The sequence below is a fragment of the Homo sapiens genome, chromosome 11 (genome assembly GCF_000001405.40).
Source record: "Homo sapiens chromosome 11, GRCh38.p14 Primary Assembly".
Classification (NCBI taxonomy): domain Eukaryota; kingdom Metazoa; phylum Chordata; class Mammalia; order Primates; family Hominidae; genus Homo; species Homo sapiens.
Window position 1 is genome coordinate 132269251 of NC_000011.10, and position 20177 is coordinate 132289427.

Here is a 20177-nt window from a genome sequence, read left to right on the forward strand (position 1 = left end):
ATCTGGAGAGAAGGACAGAGAGGGCAATACTAGTGATTTTGTTTTTAAATAAGTTACCAAAGGTAATTAAGTCTTCCTTTTGTGCTTCAATGGAAACAGAATGACTCAAGCTCCAACCAGCAGGATGTCATGCTTCCTGGGCTAGACTGCACCGTCTATCCCACTAAAATGGGCAAATATTTCACTACCGTTTGGTACTTCTCTATGTTGCCTTCTGTTAATAAAATACTCATCAATAACAATCCCATCTAATATGGCAGATTATTATATAGGTCTTATAATGTAGTTCAATTTATGTAAACAAGCCTGAAGAATAGATATTTTACAGGCCAGGATTTATATACAAATTGCATCACCCATAAATGCTACAGCCAGGATTGGAATCAAGGTTTCTGACTTCAATTCAGTGTTCTCTTCATGACATGATACTGACTGAGAGTGACCACTGCACTGTGGCTGTTGAGGGTGAGAAAGCACAGTCATTGTTGACTGGGGGCTCCTGGCAAGCCAACAATGTAAAAATGTTCCAGAAAAATCCCATCACTCAGGAGTCAACTCTGAACATACACCTGAGAGATGTGTCATTTACTTCATCAAGTGATTTGTGTGTGGTTTTAAAACTCAACTTTACTGGGCTATAATTTACATACAAAGACTTTCAAACATTTTAAGGTTGATGACTTTTGACAAATTGTATACAGTCAGGTAACCAACTTAATCAAAATATAAAACCTCTCCATCGAGCGAGAACATTCCTTCATGTCTCTTTACATTTCTTTAGTCATTCTCTCTCCTCAGCGTCCTACTCCAGGCAACCACTCGTGTGGCCTCTATAACTACGGATAGCGTTTTATTCATATGAGATCATACGTATATATTCTTTAGAGTAAGGCTTCTTCACTTGACATAGTCTCTGTGAGATTTGTCTTTATTTTTGCATATAGTTTACATTTTATTAAGAGACCATATATTTTATTTTTTATTATTATTTTCTTTTTTGAGACAGAATCTCTCTCGTTTGCCCAGGTTGGAGTGCAATAGCACGATATCGGCTCACTGCAACCTTTGCCTCCTGGGTTCAAGCGATTCTCTCACCTCAGCTTCCGGAGTAGCTGGGATTACAGGTGCCACCAATGCCCAGCTAATTTTTGTATTTTTAGTAGAGACGGGGTTTCACCATGTTAGCCAGGCTGGTCTTGAACTCCTGACCTCAAGTGATCAGCCGATCTTGGCCTCCCAAATTGCTAAGATTACAAGCATGAGTCACTGTGCCTGGTCAGAGAACCATATTTTTAAAAATCAGTTTATTTGTCCAAAGAAATTTAGGTTATTTTTAGTTTAAGGTTATTATGACTAAAACTGTTATGAACATTTTTGTATATGTCTTTATAAATTTATTTTTATTTTTTTTTTTACTTTTTTGGGGGGTAATAGCAAGGATTAGAATGGCTGTGTCACAAGTGTATGTTAAGATATAAAAAACAATTTTGAAAAATGGTTGAGCCGCTTTACACCAAAAATATATAAGCCTTCCACTTGTTCCACATCCTTGCTCTTTGGAATTGTGCTTTGTGTATGTGTGTATTACAATTAACTAATTAAAAGGTAATACATGAAAATGAATAAATGCAGTTGTTAGCATTGTTGAGATATGATTAACATAGCTTACACCTTATTCATTTACAAATGTATAATTTTGTGAGTTTTGGTATATTTAAAAGTTATACAACTACCCGTTTATTGTTGTGCAATACAATCAATTTAGAAAAATGTTATCATCCCCAACAGAAACCCATACCTTTTGTAAGTGACCTTCATCTCACCCCCCAGCACATTACCTTCCCTAAGGCCAGGCAACCACTAGTGTACTTTCTTTTTCTATAAAATTGCCTGTTCGGTTTATATCTTTTGTCTTTTGCCACTGCTTTGTTGACTTAGCATAATGTTCTTAAGGTCCATCCATATTGTAGAGTCTATCAGTAGTTCATTTGTTTTTATGACTAATATTACACTGTATGGATCCACATTTTGTTTATCCATTCATCAGTGGATGGACATTTGGGTTGCTTCCACCTTGGGACTATTGTGAGTAATACTGTTATGAACATTCATGTACAAGTTTTTGTGTAGACATATATTTTCTTTTCTCTTGGTTTTATACCTAGGAGTGGAATAGCTGGGTGGTAGGTTAACTACATTTCACCCTTTGAGGAACTGCCAGACTATTTTGCAAAGTTGCTGTACCATTGTACATTCTCACTTTAGCATATGACTCTTCCAATATTTCAACATCTACACCAACACTTGTTATTATCCATCTTTTTTATTATAGCCATCCTAGTGGGGTGGAAGTGTGATCTCATTGTGGTTATGATTTGCATTTTCCTGAGGGCTAATGATAGGAACTGTTTTTGATGTTCTTATTGGCCATTCATACATCTTTGGAGACATGTCTGTTTAGAACTTTAGCCCATTTTTAATTGGGTTGTCTTTTTTTTTTTTTTAGTGAGCTGTAAGAGTTCTTTATATTTTCTATATATGAATTCCTAATCAGATATATGATTGGCAGATATTGTCTCTCATTCTTTGTCATTTCACTTTCTTGGTATTCTTTGAAGCACTAAACTTAAATTTTTTTGATGTTCAACTTATACATTTTTTGTTGCTTGTGCTTTTGATTGTCATATAAGAAACAAATCATTTCCATAGGAAACCATTCCAAGGTCATCAAGATTTATCCCTGTGTTTTCTTCTAAGAGTTATAGAACTTATATTATGTATCTTGAGTTAAATTTTGTATTTAGTATGTAGTAAGATACAACTTTATTCTTTTGCATGTGGATATCTAGTTTTCCCCAGCATCATTTGTTGAAAAGACTACTCCTTCCCCTAGGAACTGTTTTGATACCCTTGCCAAAAATCATTTGATCATAACTGTGGGGTGGGAGTGTTGCTCCTAAACTGTCAATTTTATCCCATTGTTCTATGTATTTCTCCTTATGCCAGTATCACAGTCTGGATTACTGTAGCTTTATAGTGATATTTGGAATCTGGAAATGTGGGTTCTTTAAATTTGTTCTTTGTTTTCAATATTGTTTTAGTTCTTCTAGGACCCTTGAATTGCCATACAAATTTTATCATCAGCTTGTCAATCTCAGCAAAGAAGCCAGCTGTTATTTTGATAGCAATTATATTAAATCTGTAAAATAATTTAGGGAATATTGCCATTTTAACATTAAGCCTTCCAATTCATGAACATGGGAAGTTTTCCCAATTATTTAGATCTTCTTTAATGACATTCAATAATATTTTGTAGTTTGCATAGTAAAGTTTGTCACTATTTTATTAAATTTATTGCTAAGCATTTTATTCTTTTTGATACTACGGTAAAAAGAGTTGCTTTTGTAAATTCATTTTTAGATTGTTTATTGAAAATATATAGAAATACAATTGATTTTTGCATATTGCTCTTGTATCCTGCAATATTTCTGAGCTCATTTATTAGTTTGAATTTTTTTTAGTGGATTTCTTAGTTTTCACTGTATATAAGATCCTGTCATTTGTGAATAGATTTACTTCCTTCCTCCAGTTTGCTTTTTATTACATTTTCTTGCCTAGTAGTCCTGGATACAACATAGAGTACAATGTTGACTAGAACTGGTTGAGAGGAGATAGCCTTCTCTTGTTTCTGATCTTAAGGGAAAGCATTTTGATTTTTACCACTAAGTATAATGTTAGCTTTATGATTTTTGTTTTGTTTTTGTTTTTGTTTTTTGTAGATCCACTTCTACAAAAATGTTCTGGTTCGGATTGAGGAAGTTTCCTGCTATTCCTAGTTTGTTGTGTGTTTTTTTTATCATGAAGGAGTGTTGGATTTTATCAAATGCTTTTACTGCATCTCTTGAGATTATTGTGTGGTTTTGTACCTTATTCTGTTGAAATGGTATATTATATTAATCAATTTCTGGATGTTGAACCAATTTTGCATTCCTGGTAGAAATTCCATTGATTCATAGTGCGTAATCATTTTTATTTGTTGCCAGGTTTTGTTGACTAGTGTTTTTTTTTTTTTTTTTTTTTTTTTTCCTGAGGAATTCCACATATGTATTCATAAAAGATATTGGTCTGTAGTTTTCCTTCCTTGTGATATCTGCCTGGTCTTGGAATTAGGGTAATACTAGCTGCATACAATGGGTTGAGACGTATCCTCTACTATTTTTAAAAATAATTTCTAGATAATAGGTATCAGTTCTTCAAATATTTTGTGACTTTACCAGTGATCCATCTATGCCTAAGCTTTCTTTGTGAGTAACTTTTGATTACTAATTTAATATGTTTGTTAAAGTCCTATTTTGATTTTTAAAATATCTCCTTGGCTGGGCGTGGTGGCTCATGCCTGTAATTCTAGCACTTTGGGAGGCCGAGGTGGGCATATCACATGAGGTCAGGAGTTCAAAACCAGCCTGGCCAACATGGTGAAACCCCGTCTCTACTAAAAATACAAAAAATTAGCCAGCGTGGTGGTGCATGCCTGTAATCCCAGCTACTTGGGAGGCTGAGGTAGGAGAATTGCTTGCACCTGAGAGACAGAGGTTGCAGTAAGCTGAGATCATGCCATTGCACTCCAGCCTGGGCAATAAGAGTGAAACTCCATCTCAAAACAAAACAAAACAACAACAACAAAAAACACAACTTCTTGAGCCTATTTCAGTAGTTTGTATCTATATGAATTTGTCCATTTAATCTAAGTGATCTAGCTTATTAGTATACAATTATTCATAACATTGCTTTATGATCCTTTTTGTTCTGTAAGTTTGGCAGTAATGTTTCCTCCTTAATTTTTTATTTTAGTAATTTTACTTCTATTTCTTTTGTTTTTTTCTTTGTTCAGCCTTAGTAAAGCCTTGTCAAATAACCAACAATTGATTTTCTTGACTTTTTAAATTTATTTTTTATTTCATTAATGTCTTCTTTTAAAATAATTTTCTTCTTTCTGCCTGGTTTAGGCTTAGTTTATGCCTTTTTGTCCAGTGTATTAAACTGAAAGTTTAGGTTATTGATTTAAGGTCACTCTCTTTTTTTTAATATTATAGACATTTATGGATATAAATGTTCCTCTAAGTATTGCTTTGCTGCATCCCAAAAGTTTTTGGTTTTTGTTATTTTTTAAAGTTTCAATATATTATGTCTTCATTTCCATTTATCTCAAAGTATAATTTGAAATAAATTCCAGATGACCTGCTCTTATATGTAATAAATTCCAAGTTTCCTTTGGCTCATTGGTTATTTAGAAGTGTATTGTTAGGTTCATGTATTTCTGAATTTCTCGATTATTTTTCTGTTACAGATTTCTAATTTCAATCCATTGTGGTCAGAGAACATACTTTCTATGATTTCAGTCTTTCAAAATTTATTGGAACTTGCTTTATAGCCCAGTATATGGTTTATCTTGGAGGATAAACCATAGCATTTAATGTGTTCCAAGTGCACTTGAGAAGGATGTTTATTGTGCTATTCAATGGAGTATACTATATGCCAGTCTCTTTAAATTTTAGCCAGTCCAGTGAGTGTTCAGCGCTGTTTCATTGTAGGGTGAATTCATGTTTTTCTGCTTAGTAATGATGTTGAATATCTTTTCATTTTTACATGGGCCACTTGGATAGTTCTTTGCCCATTTTCAAATAAAATGCATTATGTTATTTTTGAGTTATATGAGTATCATATATTTGGGATACAAGCACCTTGCCAGATATATTTGGATTGCAAACATTTCATTTCATTTTTTGGGTTACATTTTCATTTTCTTAAGTTATCTTTTGATAAACTTATATATAGTTTTATGGCAAGTCTAAAGATCTTTGGCTACCCTAAGGTCATGAAGATGTTCTACGTTCTCTTCAAGATGTTTTATAGTTTTAGCCTTTATGTTTAGATGTACAATCCATTTCAGTTATTTTTTATATGATGTAAGGAAGGCATTGAGATATTTTTTCATTTTTCTGATTCAGATATCCAGTCATCCTAGAACGTGTATTGAAGGGACTATCTTTTTAACACTGAATTATATTGGTGACTTTTCAAAAATCAATTGACTTTATATGTATGGGTATTTGGGAACTAACTATTCTCTTCCATCAATGTATATATCAATCCTTGTGCCAATGCCACAGTGTGTTGATTATTGTAACTTTCTAGTAAGGACTTAATGAGATAGTATGAATTCTCCAATTTGATTTCTCTTTTTTTTCATTTTTTGAAATGAATTTTTTTTCATTTTTTGCTCATTCTGCATACTTCGCTTTTCCACATATATTGCAGAGCAAGTTAGTCAATTCTTTTTAAAGTACTGTGTTTTTTACTGGTGTTTGTTTCTTTAATTTTTTATTGATTTAACTGATACATTACAATTGTGCATATTTATGAAGTACAACTTGATGTTTTATATATATATGTATATATATATGTATATATATACGTATATATACGTATATATATATGTGTATATATATATATATGTTATATAATGATCCCATCAGGGTAGTTAGTATAGCCATCGCCTCATGTATTTTTCATTTCTTTGTGGTGAGAACATTCAAAAGCCTCTCTTCTAGCTGTTTTGTAATATATAATATTTTACTGTTAACCATAGTCACCCTGCAATGCACTAAAACACCAGAATGTATTTTTCTTGTCTAATTGTGACTTTATACCTATTGATCAACTTCTCCCCATCCTCGCCTCCTGCTTCTCCTTGCTAGTCTCTGATAACGACTGTTCTACTGTTTCTGTGATATTGACTTTTAATTTTTTTTTTAGATTCTACATATATGTGAGATCATGCAGTATTTGTCATTCTGTGTCTGGCTTATTTCACTTAACCTGCTGCCCTCCAGGTTCATTCATGTAATGCAGTGAAGTGACAGATTTTATTTTTGTGTGGCTGAATAGTATTCCATTGTGTATAGATAACCACATTTTCTTTATTCATCCATCGTTAGTCACTTAGGTTGGTTTCATATCTTGTCTATTGTGAATAATGCTGTAATAAATATGAGAGTGCAGATATCTCTTTGACATGCTGATTTCATTTCCTTTAGATATAGTCAATAACGGGATTCTTGGATCATAAAAGTTAGTATAGCAGACCTGAGACTACTGTCATTTATAGAGGATTGCTTGCAAGCTTGGCTTTTGGGGGGTGTCTCAGACTCAACTGGTAAACAGTTTCCTAAATTTATAAAAAATACTCCTTAACTGAGGAGAGTGGCTTACTGTGCATAGAATGATCACACAAAAATTGTGGTTCATGCTGACACCTGCTTTCCTTCTAGAAATCTGGAATTTTGGTGCACCTTAGGCAGGAGGTAGCTATGTGACCACTTCCAATTAAAACATTGTCTGCTAAGTCTCAAATGGGATTCCTTAGACAGCAACATCATCCACATGGTGCTGCATTTTTGTTGTGGGGGAAGAGTGTGCTCTGTGTGACCCTTCTTGGGAGGGAAAGAGCATAGAGAAGCCTGTATATGGGTTCCTGCAGCCTCTACCTGTGCCTTTATCCCTTACGATTCAGCAGTAAGTCTTACTCTACCATTGTTAAAAGTCTTGGCCAAGAGTACAACTTTATGCTGAGTCCTATGACTATCCGAGGTGTAGGGGTGGTCTTAGGGACTCCTGACAGATAGTTGGCTTATTCTATTCCACTATGTTGTTGCTAGTATATAGAAATACAACTGATTTTTTTATGTTGATTTTGCATTTTGTGACTTCACAACATCCACTTCTATTTCTAGCAGTGCTTTGTAAATTCCTTATGTTTCTACATGGGCAATCATGTGATTGGTGAATAAAGATAATTTTACTTCTTCCTTTCTAATCTGTAATCCCTTTTATTACTGTTTCCTGTCTTATTGCCCTAGTAAGACTTCTGTTGGCTGAAAGTGGCAAGAGTGTACATTTTTGCCTTGTTTCTTATATAAGGTGGAAAACATTCATCTTCTCATTATTAATTTATAATTGATTTTATCGACTTACTTACAAGTTAATGACTTTGCCTTGACTGGATGTTTTTCTAAGAAAAGGTTGCTTCAAAACAGGAGATAATAGCAAGGCATATATTGTGCTGGTACCAGGTGACCAAGGATTGTAGGAGAAGGCTCTATTGATGAGGATAAAAAGAGATGAAAGGTGGCATTGCAATGTCTAAAAACCTACTTGATACCTTTGCAGATTTTCCTCTAATTTGCTTTTCTTCTTTTCCCTTATATATCTCTCAGTTCCTAGCCCAATGTCTCACAGAGTTGGTTCTCAAAAAATAAGAATTTGGGCGTACTTGAATTGAAACCAATCAGTATAAGGGATTATTTTTAATTTTGTTGGATGCCATAATTATATTTGATAACGTAATATCAAAAGCATTACTTTTAGAGGTATTTTTGAAATATGTCTAGGGAAAATAGTATATTATTTGGGATTTGTTTTCAAATATTCCAACAAATAACAATAGTAACCAAAATGAGATTGTTACAATATTGGTAATTGTAAAAGCTTGGTGCTATTTCTATCATGCTAAAATATATATATATATTTAAAAATCCATCCTCTGTGCTACTGTTTAATGAGAAATGGGTAAATTCTGGTTTGAGGACTCTTACTTTCTGAGTTCCAAGAAATTGAAAGCATATTTGCCAATTACTTTTATATAACAGTTTATTGAGAACTCGAAAAATAATTGGTATTAACGAATCATCAAACAGTCTTTGAAAGTCTGCTTTGGGCCACAGTCACCGCTTAATCACTGTGGTATTCACATCAACATCGGCCTTCTGGTTGCCAAGTCCAATGGACACTTCTTCCTTACCTTAGTTCAACACTCTGCATCCTTTACAGCCTACCCAATACTTATTGAGGATTTCTGTTCCTTTGCTTGGCCTCTGTTGTACTTAGCTAGTGCTGTGTAAGAAACCACCCCCAAGCTTTGCTGTGTAAACCAATCATTGTATTATGCTCTCAGATACTTTGGGTCAGGGATTTGTGTTGGACACAGAGGGATCAACCTATCTCTGTTCCATGATGTCTGTGGGCCTCAGTTGGAAAGACCTGAAGGCTAGGGATGAGTTGGCAGCAGGGGGGCTGGAGTCATCTAGAGGCATCTTCACCCATCTCTGCTAATCCGTCAGCCAGAACACCTACACGTGGCCTCTCCAAGTAGTCTTTGTGCATAGCCTTGCTTGGGCTTCCTCCTAGCAAGGTGGCTGGGTTTCTAGAACACAGGCAGAAACTACATTGCAGCCCCACCCAGACACAAGAGACACAAGTGGAATGCAAGGGTGCAGGGTCATATTCTCCACCTCTCAGTGGGAGGACTGTCAAAGTCAGTGTGGTATGGAGACACCATCCAGAGATCTTTGGAAAACACATTCTGTCTTAGCTTCGTAATGCTGCTTTACAGTTCTCCTCCTTTGGAATGTCTTTCTTAACCTTCATTTGGGCTTCTCTCTCTCTCTCTCTCTCTCTCTCTCTCTCTCTCTCTCTTTACTGCTTAAATGTCAGTAATCTCCAGGGTGGCTCTGATACAGATCCTTTCTTTGTTCACTCTACGCTCCTCTCCTTGTATTTCATTCAACCCCGCAGCTATAACTTACACCAATATGTAGCTGCAATAAACATGTAACAAGCAGATCTGTACAGCTCAGTCTTCACTCCTGAGAGCCAAATCCAAATATCCACAAGACGTCCCCTTTTGAATATCTTACAGTCACATTAAACTTAGATCATCCAAATGGAATGCAACATGGTGTTTCTTCTGTCTGCCCCTGATAGTCTTCCTGTTCTGCTTATCACAGAGAATACCACAGCTATCTGCTGGCCCCAAACAGAGACTTGTAAGTTATTTTAGATGCCTTCTTTTTATTCCAGCTATCTTTTCAATTAATATCCAAGTCCCATCAATTAATTCTTCTAAATTTCCTTTTAATATATTACATTCTGTCCATTTCCACAGCCACTGCCTACCTGAGGCACATATTATCTCTTACTGGAATCATTGTGCTATTTCTCTCATGAATCCATTTGTCTTTAGACTTGGCCTCTGCTTCCTCCTCCATTCTGCTGCTAGAGGGCACTGTTTATCACAGAGATCTGTTCATGTGACTCTCGCTCCAATCTTGCAGATGATCATCCAAGATTCTCAGGAGTATCCTACAGTCCTTTTGCTTGTCATGTTTAGATGCCAGCCCACATGTTCGCACTTAATGCTCACCAGAACTTCCACTACTGCACGTTAAATCCCAGGCTCAAACAATTATGTATAAATACTTAAAACCATATGTCTTCATGCCTCTGATTTTTTGCACAGGCTATTCCACCTGCCTGGAATCCTTTCCGCCATTGATCTTCCAGGCCTTTGTTTATATTTAGCCTTTAAAAATCTCAGCTTAAGTGCTACCTCTTCTATTAATATTTCCCTAATAACTCACCTTCTCCACCCACACACATGCCCATACCCACCAAAATTAACACACACAAGATCTCTGTAGATTTGTGGACTTAACACTCTGCATTTCCTTTGCATACCTTCCATATAAAGATTCACATCGTGTTATAATAATTGTATCACAGAACTCTCTGTGGGCTGTCCATCTCTTAATGGTGAGGACTGCCTCAGTAATCATCCATTTATTAATTCATTCAACAAATAATGACCAATAACTCCTACTATATGCCGGTTACTGTTGTTGAAACAGACCGCCATGGTAAACAGGACTTCATTGATAGTCTGTCTCCAGCTCATGGTACATGTTCAGAACATCAGCGTTGAATTTTTAAGTCATCTCTGGACTATCATTGGTGCTCAGTAATTGTTGTTAAACAGTTGATGAGAGAAAATTCCCCTTGATGGATCTCAACCGAGGTCATCAGAGAAATCCTTCTGTACATATAGGGCAGGGATTGTGATTTACTAGTTTGCCTAATGCCAGAAAATAAATTTGAGGTTTGCTAGCAAAGTTCCTTGGATTTATCTTGAAGGCTGTGTTGACATCAGTATCCCCCACCCGAAATAGTAATGTAACATGGTGAAAGTACAGGACACTCCAGCAGAAACATGCAGTTTGCTCGCCTAGGGTGCACCAGCTCTTTAGTTTTCGGGTGAACTTAGTCTCAGCACCCTCCGAGTCTACTGGAGACATCTCCTGGCCTCACCACACTGTCCTGATACTCTCTTCTTTTTTTTTTTTTTTTTTTTTTTTTTTTGAGATGGAGTCACGCCCTGGCACCCAGGCTGGAGTGCAGTGGCATGTTCTTGGCTCACTGCAACCTCCACCTCCCAGGTTCAAGCGATTCTCCTGTCTCAGCCTCCCAAGTAACTGGGATTACAGGTGCATGCCACCACACCCAGCTGATTTTTGTATTTTTAGTAGAGACAGGGTTTCACCATGTTGGCCAGGCTGGTCTGGAATGGCTGACCTCAGGTGATCTGCCCACCTCGGCCTCCCAAAGCGCTGGGATTACAGGCCTGAGTCACCACCCCTGGCCTCTGATAGTCTTCTTATTGTGAATTGTAGGGATAGCTTTCATTTGTTTGTGGTTCTGTAAACCCCACCCCAGATTTCAAAGCCACCTATAGCTAGCTGTTCCTCAGATTCAACAGTCATTGCCCACAGGGCAGTCATTGGCTAAGAAACCTCTGGAGGAAAATCACACTTGAGGCAAATAACATTCTCTCACTATTAGCAGCTTTGATCTTTTTTAAAACCTCATTTTCTTTTTCCAGCCCCCATTGCATTGTAGACATTTTTATAATGAGCATAAATGTTCATTTAATTTTATTTGGCATATGCTGCTTTGAAAGTGCCACATCAACATGGAGCATCACTCCTTCAGTAACTAAATTCTTCTAACAGCTTTAAAGGAATGACCTTGGGTGTGACCAGTGGGTCTTCAGAGCATGGCTGCGTTTTGATTAGCTAAATTTTCTGTTAGCCCAGTGAGTCCACACACCAATTAGTGGAGCATAATCACAAGCCTGAAGGTTTCAGGAGTTTTCTCACAGGGAAGTAACATTGATACTTTTCTTAATATATTATTATTTTTAAGTAAATATCTGACAGTGTCTAGGTAATCAATTCTGTGCCCACAAAAGCTCAGTGTGCCTCCGAAAGAGTTCAATATATACAAGTATATGCATATACGTATATGTTTTTCACAATTCAGATGCAAATACACAGAAACATTTGTTCATCTTCAAATCATTTTAATAGATGATTGGGTTCCTTGTCCACCCACTGCCCAATGACTGTGGGAGAACCTTCTTTCATTTACAGAACCCCAGTCTGTAAGAATAGATATCTAAAAATACAGAAGTCTGATGCCCAGAAATTGTCCTTGAAGCTTGATTCCAAAGCACAATATGTGCAGCCCAAAGCATGACCAGACAGTAAGCTTTCACATCATACATGGGTCAAGCACAGACATATTCTTCTTTTAGATTTGGAATAAGGGTTAATTGCATCATCTAGGAAGCGTTCAGGAATATAGCCTTGTGAATTCTCACAGTTATGAGTACTATCAAAAATTGACTTCACACATGATAAAAAGAACAAGAAATCTTGGAATGCTTTCAATCTCAAAAAAAGTATTGTGATATTAATAACATAGATAAAATTTATTTTTATTAATTTCTGCTTCCAAACTTTCAACCTGTGAGCTTTAAGCCCACATCTTATCATATTGTTATGTTTCATTGCCAAAAGCAACTACGTATTGATATTTCAGAAATGCTGCCAGGCCTTTATGTAACTAGTTGCTATTTTACCTCAAAAAATAAATAATGCTTCCTGTTTTTACTTTTACTTATCTGGAATAAGTAGCTATTGACATCTGCTGAAGTCAGTATAAAGATTTATTTACCTGAGTGTAGATATTGACCAATAGGGAGCCTGGCTCAATGTTTACATTGAAGGACAATAAATTGCCGTATTGACTGGGCTGAGACATCAATATTTGCATTGTTGTAAACATTTTTAAAAATCTTCATGAAATATTCCTCAGAAATTCTCTTGTCACCAGAGCAGCTGAGCTAGAGCTCTTTAGGGAATAGCTTGTGTCTGGAAGCCAGTGGGTAACTTGAAATAGCTATAAATTGTTCTGGTTTCCAAGTTTACACAAAGACACATTTTTTATTGTGATGTATAATGCTGATCATTAGGAGCTTTCAGATGACAGTCCCAGCCCCCTCCTCAAATAGCAGATTTTTGTCTACAACAACTCTGAACAGAAATACGCTCCCCGAGTAGCTTGTGTCTTGAAAAGCTCATGTTTTCCAAAAAATATCTCATTGCCCAAACAGTGAAACATCATTAATTCCAACCAGATTAATTAATTAAAAATGTGGGATGTTTCAACTCAGTTGGAATAAGTTTTTCCTTTGTGTCAAGAGTAGAAAGAGGAAGATGATTTAGAAAACATTAGGACAGGTAAAGTGATAAATTGAATATTTAGCCTGTTTAAGAGAGAAACATAATCTACACAAAATCTTCTTACAATCTATGAATGCCTATTAATAGGCATTAACTTAACTTCTTAACTCCAAGTGATATGTGTGTTTATATAATATATGCCATTTTAATTAAGCTTTGTAATAGATACAGGTTAAACAACTTTATCAACATGTGTTCATATAATTTAATGTACTTGGAAGAAATGAAACGGGAAATTCCTTTATTCCTTTTTTTTTTTTTTTTTTTTTTTTTATTTGAGACAGAGTCTCGCTCTGTCTCCATGCCAAAGTGCAGTGGCATGATTTTGGCTCACTGCAACCTTCGCCTCCTGGGTTCAAGCGATTCTCCTGCCTCAGCCTCCTGAGTAGCTGGGACTACAGGCACGTGCCACCATGCCCACCTAATTTTTGTATTTTTAGTAGAGATAGGGTTTCACCATGTTGGCCAGGATGGTCTCAATCTCTTAACATCGTGATCCACCTGCCTCAGCCTCCTAAAGTGCTGGGATTATAGGCATGAGCCACCGCTCCGGGTCAACAGGGGCAATTTCTGTCATATGGTGTAAAAGCTAAACATCTGGCAAATTCTTAATTTTTTCCAAGTTGGTAAAATCATAACCTACTTTAGCCAGCCCAATAGTTCTAAGGGAGTGGCTCAAGATAATTAGCACCACCTCTTGGAGAAGCACAGATTCATTGTTCTAGTGCAGGGTTTGGTGCCTCATCGTCTTTGTCAAGTAAGACAATTAGGACAGCGATCAGAGATCAAGGAGCTCGGGATGATGTGCAAAATGTGATGCCTATTTATGCTTGAATAACAATTTGGATGAAAAAATTGGCATCTTAAAAAAATATTTGCATCATGGTTATATTCCTAAATGATGAATGAAAGAAAAGAAGCATCCAGTTCTCTCTGCAGTTGCTTCCACCTCTAGGCGGTACTTCATAGCACCCTGTTCTAAGTTAGGCTCAGGGACTGAGAATGCTTTTAGCGAAGAGGGATAGGAGGGGAGGCTAAGATGGGCAAGTCTGAAATGTGCCCTCCTGTTCAATGGGGGGCTTTAGAGGGAAAGTGGAAATGTCCTACCAGTAACCGTGTCTGCAGAGGAGACACTAAGCTCTTGCCCAGGCCCCATGGGAGTGCCTGTGCTGTCATCACCCCAGGGGCTCTATCTCAGTGATTCCCTCCATCCCGCCCTTTTCCTGGCCTCCTCTCCTCCTCTTGGGCTTCTCCCTCTCCCTTCCTTCCTCCCTCTGAGGCAATGCCCAGTGCTTGTAGAAAGCCCCACCACTTCCAAAGGACTGTCCCAGCCCCTGGGGCCTCAGCCCCAGGATCCCTAGAGGATGATTTTGTGGGGATTAAAATGAAATGAGGTATGGGAAAGAGCTGGCGCACAGCAAACCCTCCAAGGTGAGCCCCCTCCCTATTCTGGGCTTTCCCCTGGACACCCACTCTACTGGTTGCTAGCGCTGAGGTAACAAAGTACCACAGCCTGGAGGGCTTCAACAACAGCAATGCATTGTCTTACAAATTTGGAGGCCAGAAGTCTGAGCTAAAACAGTCGGCCTGGTTGATTTCTGGGAGGGCCTCTCTCCTTGGCATGTAGAAGGTCGCCTTCTCCCTGTGTTTTCACATGTCTTCCCTCTGCATCTCTGTGTCCTGATCTCTTCTCCTAAGGACACCAGTCCCATTAGATTGGGTCTCCCCCAGTGACCTCAGTTTAACTGCATGACCTACTTAGGGACCCTGCTTCCAAATGCCCTCACACTGCGATACTGGGACCCTGCTTCCAAATGCCCCCACACTGTGATACTGGGACCCTGCTTCCAAATGCCCTCACACTGTGATACTGGGACCCTGCTTCCAAATGCCCTCACACTGTGATACTGGCGGTTGGGACTTCAACTTACGGATTTGGGGTGGGAGCATAAATCAGCCCATAACAACTGGTCAGTCCCTCTCCTCTGCCTCCTCCAACTGTCACATTGTAAACCCCACCTGACTCTTCCCCGACAGTGGCCTTGGGGAGAAGGCGGGGCCGGCCAGGGTTTCTACTCCTGCCTCATGGAGACCCGCCTCAGATGCCCAGCACTGCGACTGCTGCACAGCCACGAGGCTGAGCCGCTGCGGATGCATGCGTGACTTAGGAATGTGTGCTGGTGTGTTTGCCACAGCAACAGGATGAGGAAAGCACAGCTCCAAGAGAGGTGGGAGCTCATCCACCTGGGGAAGCATGAGCAGGAGCAGGAAGGGTCACTCTGGGACTGTGCTCATGGGACCCTGAGATGCAGCAGAAAGAGCAGTGTGAGGAGCAAAGTGACGCTGCCTGCAGGTGCTGTCCACTCAGACCTTCCCAGCCTAGGCTTCCCTGCTACCCACGTCTTCCCACCTGGACTCCCCCTCTCTCAAGGGGCATCCTCAGTAGTGCTCTCTCAGCCCATCTGCCCCTCAGAGGCCTGGACCCCTGCCTTGCCCTCTGTGGCTTCACATTAACATTGACTGGGAGCCATCCTACCTGGTTCTCATGCCCACCAGCCTTCCTCTCCACCCTGTGGTCACAGGACTATGGGCAGCCTCTGCTCTGAGCTCCCTTTGTACCTCTCTCTTCTCACCTTTTTGTTGTTGTTAATTGTCATGCACATCTTGAAGAAGGAGGAATGAAATGCTCCCAGCTCTGACCAACTCTGTTTTTCTAAGTGTCCTCCTTCGTGGACCTGACTGAGATGGCACTGCTACTCTCACTGTCACAGCCACCCCTCGACAGCCTGAGGCACACTCCCTGCTGTTCAGGAGCACCCAGATTGGGGCATCGGTGCACCTGGACTTGCTATGTCTCGGGCACCACCCATTACACTTATCACTTTTTCTCCATGAGTTATATTCACAGCGGTTCCCCAGGCATCAAATTGGCAATATGAGTTTAGCTCTTAGGACCAAAGGACACACAAGAGATCATTTATTCTTTGCATCACTCCCCTTTTCTCAGGTAGGACATCAATCTTCCCCGACTCTGCTCTGGCCATATTTACTGCCAGTCGCTGTCCCTTAGACTGTCTGCCTCTCCTAGCCTTGACAGATGAGTCTCACTCCACCAGGATCTTTACAATTCAAGGCACAGTCCAGCCTCTTGTAGATGGGAATCTTGCTAATGTAGCCACTCTAGCTTATCCTGGCTGCATCATGAGAAAAATGGAGTTCAGCTCAGGACTGGCTTCCTCGGTTTGCAGAGTCAGTGGGCACCTGCAAACTAAGAGCTTCCATCTGCAAGGAAGACCTATCACCCCAAGCACTTGGCTTGGCTGCTGGCTGACATTTGATCATCAGTACCTTTAGTTTGAGTCTCTGGTTTCTGTGAAATAATAACTTCTAATATCCACACAGTGGAGTACAATTTACAGAATGCATCCATATATTTAAAATATTTAAACTGATCTATAAACTTCACAGTCGATATTATATCCCCCTCATTTTATCAGGAACATAAAATAAGAGACTCATTCAAGCTAAAACATAAACGAGTCTGGCCTATGGCAGTGCAGGCTATTTCTGTCTGTTACAGCAGGCTGCCACTCTGCACTTCATCTCAGGAGAACAGTTTAAAAATAGTAGTTCTTTTCAAATGGGATTGTGTTTCTGGCCCTTTCTTGGAAGAGGACCTGAATGAAGGATTGAAAGATTCAAAGGAAGGAGATTTAGGAGTAACACAGAAGCACCATTTAGGTAAATGCTAGAGAAGAACACGATATTACACATACTTTGCCTGTCCGCCCCCCCCACCCAAACACACACAGCCTCAATGCGCAACTTTGGCCCACTTATTTTTGCCTCACCACTCTGTTGTTGCTACTAGAATTTTTGATACTTCTGATACTCAATGGTTTTCAACTGGGCACCATCTCTGGGGGATATTCGAATATGCATGAGCCCACCAGAATGACCGCATGGCTCTACTGGCCCCCTGTGGGGAGGGGCCAGGAATGCTGAACATCACTGTGGCTAGAGCAGGGCACAGTGTTGAATCCACCTGACCACCATGACAATGGTGTATCCAATGAGAAAACAAACTAGGGAGATGCATCAGACTTAGGAAGCTCCGCCATCTGTTCGCAGGATCCCTGAGAACCCTGGCTATTCTACCTTTCCTGCACTTCTGCCTATTGATCCTTCTTTGAAGATGCTTTTCTTCTTTGGTGCCTATGTCCTTCTCACTCTTGAAATGACTCAACTACAGAAAATCCTTTCCCTGGTACATGAACAAGGGCTTTCTCCTTTAAATTCCTCCTTAGTGTGTATTTATTCTTCAAAATATTTTCTAGACCATTTGAGACCCCTCAGGCTGTCGATGGCAGAGAATGTGCTGTCTGATGCTCATCCATCATCCTCCCTTGTCAGATCTGTCTAACCAGTCCTTAGGCCCTTTAGGCAAGGCCAGTTTCAGTCCTGGTGGGTGTAAAGCTGAGTAATTTTCTCAGGCACACATAATGGTGAAATAATGATGATCATAGTCAGAATTATGATTTTGGTAAGTGGAGTATGCTGTGTTTTCCAAACGCTTATTTTTCATTATGTATAGAATGAATAATGGAAGACACATTGAGCTCAGGACCCGGATGTTCTGTCTGCGTACGTTTCCTTCTAATAACTTGAGAGAAGCATTCTTTTATCCAGCTCATGTCATGCATGTCAGGCTGGGTGTGCATGTGACTGAGCAGAGGACCCTAGAGCTGCATATGTGTCATGCCACCTGAGGTTTAAGTTATATAAATTCTTGGGGGAAAAGATCTGGTTTATATTTAAAAAATGCTTAAAAGGCTGGAGAAAAGGATCAGAGAGACTGAACAGCCTCTAAAAAATACAATTTCAGGGAGTCAAGTACAAATGAATCAGGGACTTTTGACTCTGCATGTTTCCCAATATAAAACATCTGAAAAATGGATTTAAACTAGAAATAAATGACCAGATCTAAGGATTCTGATAGAGAAAGAAAAAATGTGCTAACATGCATGTGTGAGCATGCATGTGAATGTGTCTCTAATAAGCTTACATTGCATGAGCTTACAATTTTGGGTCGGTATGCATGTCCAAATGCAGGATATGGGTACACATGAAAAGCAGGAAAAACATAGTGTGCTGAGGATTTGTTTGGTGTATATGTGTCTATTTTGAAGAATATGGAAGAATAATTGAGGCTACTCATTTAATAAACATTTATGTGGTTCAAGGGTATGATATACATTGTCCCTAGAGACAAAAATTAGTAAAATTTCAGTTTCTTTATATGCTTTGTGAAAAATAATCTCCTTTTACAAAACTCTTTAGTATTGTGTGCAGCGCACAGAGCCTAGTGTCAGTGTTTCTCTGGGGATTGAAGCAGACAGTTCTGCCAACCAGCATGGATGGGGGAATAGCCTGGGCAGGATGCAAGCCACATCGTGCAGAATATGATTCTTAGTGGAATAGAAAGCCAAGTGCCATGGAAGCCAAGACACGTGCAGGCTTACCAAGATGCCCCAAGCCATTGGAGAGAATATGGAGTTTCTCAGTGCACAGAAGATTCAGAAGATTTACTTAAACTTAAAGGGCAAGTAGACCTTAAGAAGCTGTAAAACTTGAGGACATCCAAGATTCTGACATATGAAATATAATTTCTTTGGCACCTATGGTATACCATACACTCTTAGCTACTAAACTTAGCTACTTTTTGAATGCATGTTTCTGTGCCTGTATGTTTTAATGCATACATCAATTCATGTATAGAACACCACTTGAACTGAACGGAATACACAATAGTTTCACCCCAAAATATTTCTTTTGTTGCCTTCCCATCTTTTAACCTCTATTGTTTAGATTGGATACTTTTTTTCTTTCTTTCTTTTTCTTTTTTTTTGGGACAGAGTTTCGCTTTTGTTGCCCAGGCTGGAGTGCAATGGCACGATCTTGGCCCACTGCAACCTCCAGCTCCCGGGTTCAAGCGATTGTCCTGCCTCAGCCTCCTGAGTAGCTGGGATTACAGGCGCCCACCACCACGCCCAGCTAATTTTTTGTATTTTTAGTAGAGACGGGGTTTCACCATGTTGGCCAGGCTGGTCTTGAACTCCTGGCCTCAGGTGATCCACCCGCCTCAGCCTCCCAAAGTGCTGGGATTATAGGAGTGAGCCACCATGCCTGGTGCGATAATTTCTATTTATCTTTAAGTTTACTGACTTTTTACTCTATCATCTCTATTTTGCTATTAAACTGATCCAATTAGTACCTAAAACTCAGTCCTAGTTTTTCTTACTTGCTTCTTGTGTATGGCTTCTAGTTCTGTCTTGAGAATGTCCACCATCATATTTGTTTTAAAAGTGTTCACCTTTACTTTGCAGGGCATAGTTTTAGCAGCTGCTTTAAGATCTGGCAATTTGCAACAATTCTCAGGGATGGTGTTTGTTAATTGTCTTTTCCCTTGGGAATTATTTAGCTTCCCCTTGCTCTTTGTAGGATGAGTAATTTTTGATTATATAGTGCACATTTTTATCTTACTAGACTCTAGATTCTGTTAAGATCCTTTGAGAATATACAGGCAGAGTTCACCAACTAAGACTCTGGGTGGTGGTTTACACAAGAGTTCAGTTCTCAAAGCCTTTGGTGTACTGTCCTGGGTGAGTTCCACACAAGTTCAGAGTGAACCTGGGACTT

At 39.0% G+C, this 20177-nt stretch overlaps 1 protein-coding gene and 1 long non-coding RNA gene across 46 annotated transcripts in view, besides 2 other annotated features; both read left to right on the top strand.

Annotated features, from left to right (window-relative positions):
- Nucleotides 1-20177, top strand: part of NTM (neurotrimin) — a 966208-nt gene that overhangs the window by 898636 nt on the left and 47395 nt on the right. The window lies entirely within an intron of this gene.
- Nucleotides 15052-19209, top strand: NTM-IT (NTM intronic transcript). Its single transcript, NR_046820.1, has 3 exons — nt 15052-15108; nt 15516-15831; nt 18819-19209. It is a non-coding gene; the product is annotated as an NTM intronic transcript (long non-coding RNA).
- Nucleotides 15058-15627: an enhancer, noted in NCBI's record as "H3K4me1 hESC enhancer chr11:132154202-132154771 (GRCh37/hg19 assembly coordinates)". NCBI's record gives its function as "activates a minimal SCP1, AML or CMV promoter by ChIP-STARR-seq in naive H9 embryonic stem cells {active_cell/tissue: H9 hESC(naive)}" and the evidence as "EXISTENCE:reporter gene assay evidence [ECO:0000049][PMID:30033119]".
- Nucleotides 15628-16196: an enhancer, noted in NCBI's record as "H3K4me1 hESC enhancer chr11:132154772-132155340 (GRCh37/hg19 assembly coordinates)". NCBI's record gives its function as "activates a minimal SCP1, AML or CMV promoter by ChIP-STARR-seq in naive H9 embryonic stem cells {active_cell/tissue: H9 hESC(naive)}" and the evidence as "EXISTENCE:reporter gene assay evidence [ECO:0000049][PMID:30033119]".